At 54.2% G+C, this 5,972-nt stretch overlaps 1 protein-coding gene across 5 annotated transcripts in view, besides 1 other annotated feature; it reads right to left on the bottom strand.

Annotated features, from left to right (window-relative positions):
- RAB37 (RAB37, member RAS oncogene family) overlaps positions 1 to 5,972 on the bottom strand; it is a 76,205-nt gene that overhangs the window by 2,030 nt on the left and 68,203 nt on the right. For 3 of the 5 annotated variants that reach the window (NM_001330471.2, NM_001163989.3, NM_001006638.3), the window contains exons 2-8: positions 4,428 to 4,538; positions 3,011 to 3,052; positions 2,111 to 2,177; positions 1,966 to 2,018; positions 933 to 998; positions 377 to 433; positions 222 to 298 (exon numbers count right to left, since the gene is read on the bottom strand). In NM_001330471.2, coding sequence (NP_001317400.1) covers positions 222 to 298; positions 377 to 433; positions 933 to 998; positions 1,966 to 2,018; positions 2,111 to 2,177; positions 3,011 to 3,052; positions 4,428 to 4,538 — 473 coding nt within the window. The remainder of the gene's footprint in view (positions 1 to 221; positions 299 to 376; positions 434 to 932; positions 999 to 1,965; positions 2,019 to 2,110; positions 2,178 to 3,010; positions 3,053 to 4,427; positions 4,539 to 5,972) is intronic. The other 2 variants (NM_175738.5, NM_001163990.2) reach the window with 1 other exon arrangement.
- Positions 2,605 to 2,754: an enhancer, noted in NCBI's record as "active region_12717". NCBI's record gives its function as "activates an Ori minimal core promoter by ATAC-STARR-seq in GM12878 lymphoblastoid cells {active_cell/tissue: GM12878}" and the evidence as "EXISTENCE:reporter gene assay evidence [ECO:0000049][PMID:35858748]".

Raw genomic sequence — 5,972 nt, 5'->3', positions numbered from 1 at the left:
CTTGAAGAAGAGACAATGGGCTGGGCTGGGCTGGGCTGGGCTGGGGTGAGGAGCTGAGCCGCCCCCTCCCCTCTCCCAGTGGCCCAGTGCTCCCAGAGCAAATGGACCTCAGCCTGCAGAATGCAGGTGTGTCCAGGGGCTGGGCCAGGGGCCGGGCCCTACTGGATTCCTGGAGTGTGCCGCCCTGCCCCGCACACTTCCCTTCCCTGCCCAGCTCTCACTTGGCGATGGCCAGAAAGGCTAACTCCACATTCATGCCAGTCTTGGCGCTGGTCTCCAGGAAGGGAACACCGTACTCCTGCCCGGGAGAGAGTGTCCTCAGGGCCAGCGTCGGGTTGCCCCCACCCTTCACCCTGTCCCACAGACAATCACTTACCCTGGCCAAGGTCTCTCCGTCTTCGGAACGGATCACTCTTTCGCTGCTCATATCCGCCTGTCAAGCCCAAATGGGTCACTCTGGGGAAGGAGGCCTCCGCCCCAGCGGGCCCATATTTTGCCCCAGAAGCAGGCGTTGCCTGCCCTCTGCTGGTGGCCCAAGGGACTGCAGGCAGGTGTGATTGGCCTGGGGCCAGGGTTTCTGCCCAGTGTAGCTCCCAGCTCTGGGATCTCACCTTTGGTAAAGGGTCTTGGAATAGGACAGCAGTTGGGGCTAACCCTTTGCACTCTTAGCCCCTGACCTGGGACCCTGTTCACTCTGCTCTAATGGGGGCTGAGAACTGGGCACCCCTTGATTTCTCAGGCAACAACTTGGACTTTCCCTGGAAGGGGCAGATGGGATGGGCAGAAGCCTCCAGATATGTCTGACCCCTGAGCTGGAGGCTGCAGAGTCCTTTTCAGGAAGGATGCCTAGATAACTGTTCTTGGGTGGTTATGGGGCCGGCTAGGGCTGAGGAAGTGCAGGGCTGGGCTGACCCTGCCCCGGAGCCACTCACCTTGTTGCCTAGCAGCATGATCACCACGTCCCTCTGGGCATACTCATGAATCTCAGTGAGCCAGGCCTGTGGGAGAGGGCGTGCGAGACTGGCATTCTCTTCCTCCTGCTGCCCCTTTCTTCTTCTGCTCCGTTTGACTATCCTCAGTTACTCACTACCTTGAACACGATACCCTGTGCGTTCTCTCATCTGTACCTTTGTTCTGGCCCATCCAGGCCTGGATGGCCTTCCTTGGTGGCTCAACCCACAATGGCCCCACCCTCACCATTTTATGCTGTGCAACTATCAGTTCTATGGAAGATCCAGATGCATGGAGACCTTATCTCACAAATCAGTTGGCTGTCAGCAGTGATTTCTTGGAGTGTCCTGTTAAAGATTCTAAGACCACATAAGGGTTTCAGTGATCAAAAGTACTGTGATTGATTAGTGATGTCTGCCATGAGCATGGGGTTGGAGGTAGGAGTATGAGTGCCATGGATTTTCCTCTTTCTATATAAACGTTTTATTCTCCTAGTTTGCTTATCAGCAAACTGTCCTTGAGGTCAGGGGATTCATGAAACCTATACAATGTCGTGAACAAAATTGGTGCTTGAATTTATCAAATTTTTGTCTCTATAATAGTTTGGTTGTGAGGATACAACCACTCACTCTGTCTGACTGAGTCACTTTCTTGCAACTTGCCCTGGATGTATGTGTGGACTTTTCTGGTTGTGTTTTTCCCTTGGTCTCTGTGGATAATTATCCAGGGTGGAGTGGGGGCTGTTCTGAACACTTTGTCACGAAACACACTCGTGAATCACAGTGAGGGCTATGCAGGTGGCACAGGGTCACAACAGCCTGCTTGGCCTTCATGCCCACATGGCCACCAAATACAAAGCAGCAGATATGACTTCTGAGTCACAAGTAGGTGTTTTTCAGAAGGCAGGAGGACTCCACGCTCCACCCGCTTTCCACAGGGCAGGAAGCAACCCCAGCCTGCATAGACCTTGCCTTGGCTGCTTATGGGTGGGAGTCAGGGGAAGGGAGGACCTACCCTGATGTTGTCGAAAGAAGATTTGTTGGTGATGTCATACAGCAGAAGCAAGGCTGGAGGGGAGAGGATCACAGAGGGGACTTAGGCAGCAGCACGGATGCTACCAAGGGGCTGGGGTAGGGGTTGGAGGGTGCGAGGGACTCACCCTGAGCATCTCTGTAATAAGCATGGGTGACGCTTCGGAACCGTTCCTGCCCAGCGGTGTCCCAGATCTGGGAAGGGATGGGATGGAGAAATGGTCAGAAGGAGGCAGGTGCAAGGAATGTGCTGGGTGGAGCAGGCCTGCTTTGTTGTATGAGATATCTGTGGGAAGGTGGGGCTGTTTTCTTCTTTAGGTTCTCATGAGCCCCTGAGCATCCAATGACCTGGACAGTAGCAGTTACTGATTTCTCAAGCTCGTTCAAAATCATCTCCTCAGCCGAGCGCGGTGGCTTACACCTGTAATCCCAGCACTTTGGGAGGCCGAGGCAGGCGGATCACGAGGTCAGGAGATCCAGACCATCCTGGCTAACACAGTGAAACCCCGTCTCTACTAAAAATACAAAAAATTAGCCAGGTGTGGTGGCATGCACCTGTAGTCTCAGCTACTCAGGAGGCTGAGGCAGGAGAATCTCTTAAACCTGGGAGGCAGAGGTTGCAGTGAGCCGAGATTGTGCCACTGCACTCCAGCCTGGGCGACAGAGCGAGACTCCATCTCAAAAAAAAAAAGAAAAGAAAAGAAAAAAAAAGAATCTTCTCCTCTCCCCTAGCTCAGGGGTTGGGGATGTCCAATCTCCTAAGAGCAGATAAAGCCCTGGCAACTGGGGAGGAGATGGATGGAGGCTAAGCTTGTCTGAAGGCATTTGGAGCTGCTGTTCATAGATGAGAGGGTGCCTGGGAACTGCTTTTTCTGCAGATGTCAAATAAACAAAAGCCATTTCCTCCCGTGGGCCCCACAGGAAATTGCCCCAGGCGGAGGGCAGGGCTGCAGGCCTCCTGTGGTTCAGGGTGAGAAGGAAGGGCAGGTCCTCCATCCTCCCTCCCCAACTCCAGCCTCTGGTCTCACCTGCAGCTTCACTCTCACGCCATCCACAGTCACCACCTTGTTCTGAAAGAGAAAAAGGCAGAGGATGGGAGGGCAGGAGTCATGTGGCTCCTCAGCTCTGCAGACGTCCTGTCTTGTTCCCTCTCCAGGCCTAGAGTGGGTGCAGTGAGCCCCAGAACCGTCTCCAGCCAGATCATACCATCAGGGCAGCAGGAACCCCATACCCAGACACCTCCACTGTGGAGTCGTCCCTTCTGAGGACTGTAACTGCCTTCTCACAACAGCAGGGCAAGAGGAGCCTGAGAAACATCCTGGCTCTCTCCAGGGATCAGGCAGCCCAGGGCTGGAGGGCTGGTTGCTGCTGGAGGCCCTGCCCTTTTCCCACTTCGGTCTCCCTCTCCTGGAGCCTAGCCTTGGGACTGTGACCGAGCCCCTGGAGATGGGGTGTTTGCCTGCATCCTGGGGACCTGAGGCTACATCTGCAGCAGCACCTTTTCTTTAGCTGCCCACTAATTCTCTAGTGAAGGAAGTGTTCGCTTTCTGCCTGCTTGAAGCTGTAGAGCCCCACCTGCCAGGGTGAGACCTTTTCTCTATTGAACACTTCAGGTGTGCAGCGTCTAGCATCCCTGATGCAGATTTGTAAGATGGAGTCGTCAAGGTGAGAGGGAGGGTCCCTGGTGAGCTGCTGTCTCCCAACATGGCCAGCCCAGCTCTTTTTTTTTTTTTTTTCTGAGACGCAGTCTCACTTTGTTGCCCAGGCTGGAGTGCAGTGGCGCGATCTCAGCTCACTGCAACCTCCACCACCCGGATTTGAGCGATTCTCCTGCCTCAGCCTCCCGAGTAGCTGGGACTGCAGGAGCGTGCCACTACACCTGGCTAATTTTTGTATTTTTAGTAGAGACGGGGTTTCACCATGTTGGCCAGGCTGGTCTCAAACTCCTGACCTTGTGATCTGACCGCTTCGGCCTCCCAAAGTGCTGGGAATACAGGCAAGAGCCACCATGCCCGGCCCAAGCCCAGCTCTTAAACCCAGTGCAGGGCTGTGCTTTCTGGGAACTCCAGAAAGACTGATTGACCTTTGAGGCCTTTCCAAAGGGGCCCAGGTAGGAGAGCAATGAGCAGGGGCTCTGTGGGCCAAGATATTCAGCTTATGCCGTGCCTGCGGCTGCTCTGCTTGGGAGAAGTCCCCCAGGAATGGAGCTGGAATCGAAGACTCAGTCTCATTTTTTTGCATCCTATAGTTGGGCAAGGAGCCAACCTTGCCCAGTCTCCTTTGACCCGGCCACCTCTGTGGTCTTGGGGGAGCGGGTTGTGTGCCCTCCAGGCATGAGCCTCGGGAGTCCCTGGGAGCCAGGGTGAGCAAGGTGGGGGCAACCCCCCCATGCCTGAGCCACAGCCCTGGCTCTCTGCTGGAAGCAAGTGCCTGCAGCCACCTCACCCTGAAGTCTATGCCGACGGTGGCTATGAAGGTTCCGGACAGGAAGGCCCCGTCTTTGAATTGGATCAGGAAACATGTTTTGCCGACGCCTGTGTCTCCCAGAAGCATCACCTAGGGGGTAGGGGCAGAGGCAGTTAATGGGGAGTCAGGGGCAGCTTCTGGGATTCCAGGAGAGAGACACATGGAGAGGATCAGAGAAGAGGGGGCTGGCACGAATGCTGACCGCACCAAAGGCCACCTGCTTCCAGAAAGCCAGCCGCCATCTTCACCCTGTCTCTCCTCTCCACGCTCCTTGGCTCAGCCTCCTAGGCTCTCCCTCTGACCCTCCTGTCCTCATTCAAGTTCCTAGAGGCCGGAGTTGAGACCTCACCATGAACAGGTCCCCAAGTGTGCTCTGTGGCCCCAGAGAACCACCACATTTGCACAATCTAGACAGTGGCCACATTTGCCCATAGCCACACCATGCAGGGATTCCGTCCCTCTGTGTACTTGTGTCATCCATCGTCCGCTCGTGAGTACACGCATGGGCTGGGCTATACTGACAGGAAAGGGAAGTGTCAATATATTGGACAAGGATTCCCACCCAAGGGAGTCTATCAGAATCTGCTGGGGGTGGGGCATGGTCATTTGCATACTCTATAATGAATATTGTTTGGGTTTTTTTTTTTGTGTCACAACATTTATTTGGAAGTTTCTTTCTTTCTTTCTTTCTTTTTTTTTTTGAGATGGAGTTTTGCTCTTGTTGCCCAGGCTGGAGTGCAATGGCGAGATCTTGGCTCACCACAACCTCCACCTCCCAGGTTTAAATGATTCTCCTGCCTCAGCCTCCTGAGTAGCTGGGATTATAGGCATGCACCACCTCGCCTGGCTAATTTTTTATTTTTAGTAGAGACGGGGTTTCTCCATGTTGGCCAGGCTGGTCTTGAACTCCCGACCTCAGGTGATCCGCCCGCCTCAGCCTCCCAAAGTGCTGGGATTACGGGCGTGAGCCACCGCGCCTGACTGGAAGTTTCTAATGACATTTTATGTTTATTAAAAGGTTGCATGAGGCCGGGTGCAGTAGCTCATGTGTGTAATCCTAGCATTTTGGGTGCCCAAGGTGGACGGATCACCTGAGGTTGGGAGTTTGAGACCAGCCTGACCAACAAGGTGAAACCCCATCTCTACTAAAAATACAAAAAACTAGCCAGGAGTGGTGGCACACGCCTGTAGTCCCAGTTACTTGGGAGGCGGAGACAGGAGAATAGCTTGAACCCAGGAGGTAGAGGTTGCAGTGAGCCGAGATTGCATCACTGAACTCCAGCCTCGGTGACAGAGCGACACTCTGTCTCAAAAAAAAAAAAAAAAAAAAAAGGTTGCATGAATTAGGGAAGGTTGAAATTTATACTGAAGTGGGGAGATGTGTAGTTGGAAGTTCTTTCAGCAGAAACCTCCCACATGGGACATGTGGCTGCAGATCGGCATCCCGGGGTTGCTGTGGGTAGTGCGGGCAGGAGTACCAAGGAGGTAACCTGTGGAGGGGGCGTGGCCCTCTCCTTTACTGTC

The sequence above is a fragment of the Homo sapiens genome, chromosome 17, assembly GCF_000001405.40.
Source record: "Homo sapiens chromosome 17, GRCh38.p14 Primary Assembly".
In the NCBI taxonomy this organism is placed as follows: Eukaryota; Metazoa; Chordata; class Mammalia; order Primates; family Hominidae; genus Homo; species Homo sapiens.
The sequence above is the reverse complement of the archived record's forward strand: the minus strand, read 5'-3'. Positions and strand labels throughout refer to the sequence as shown.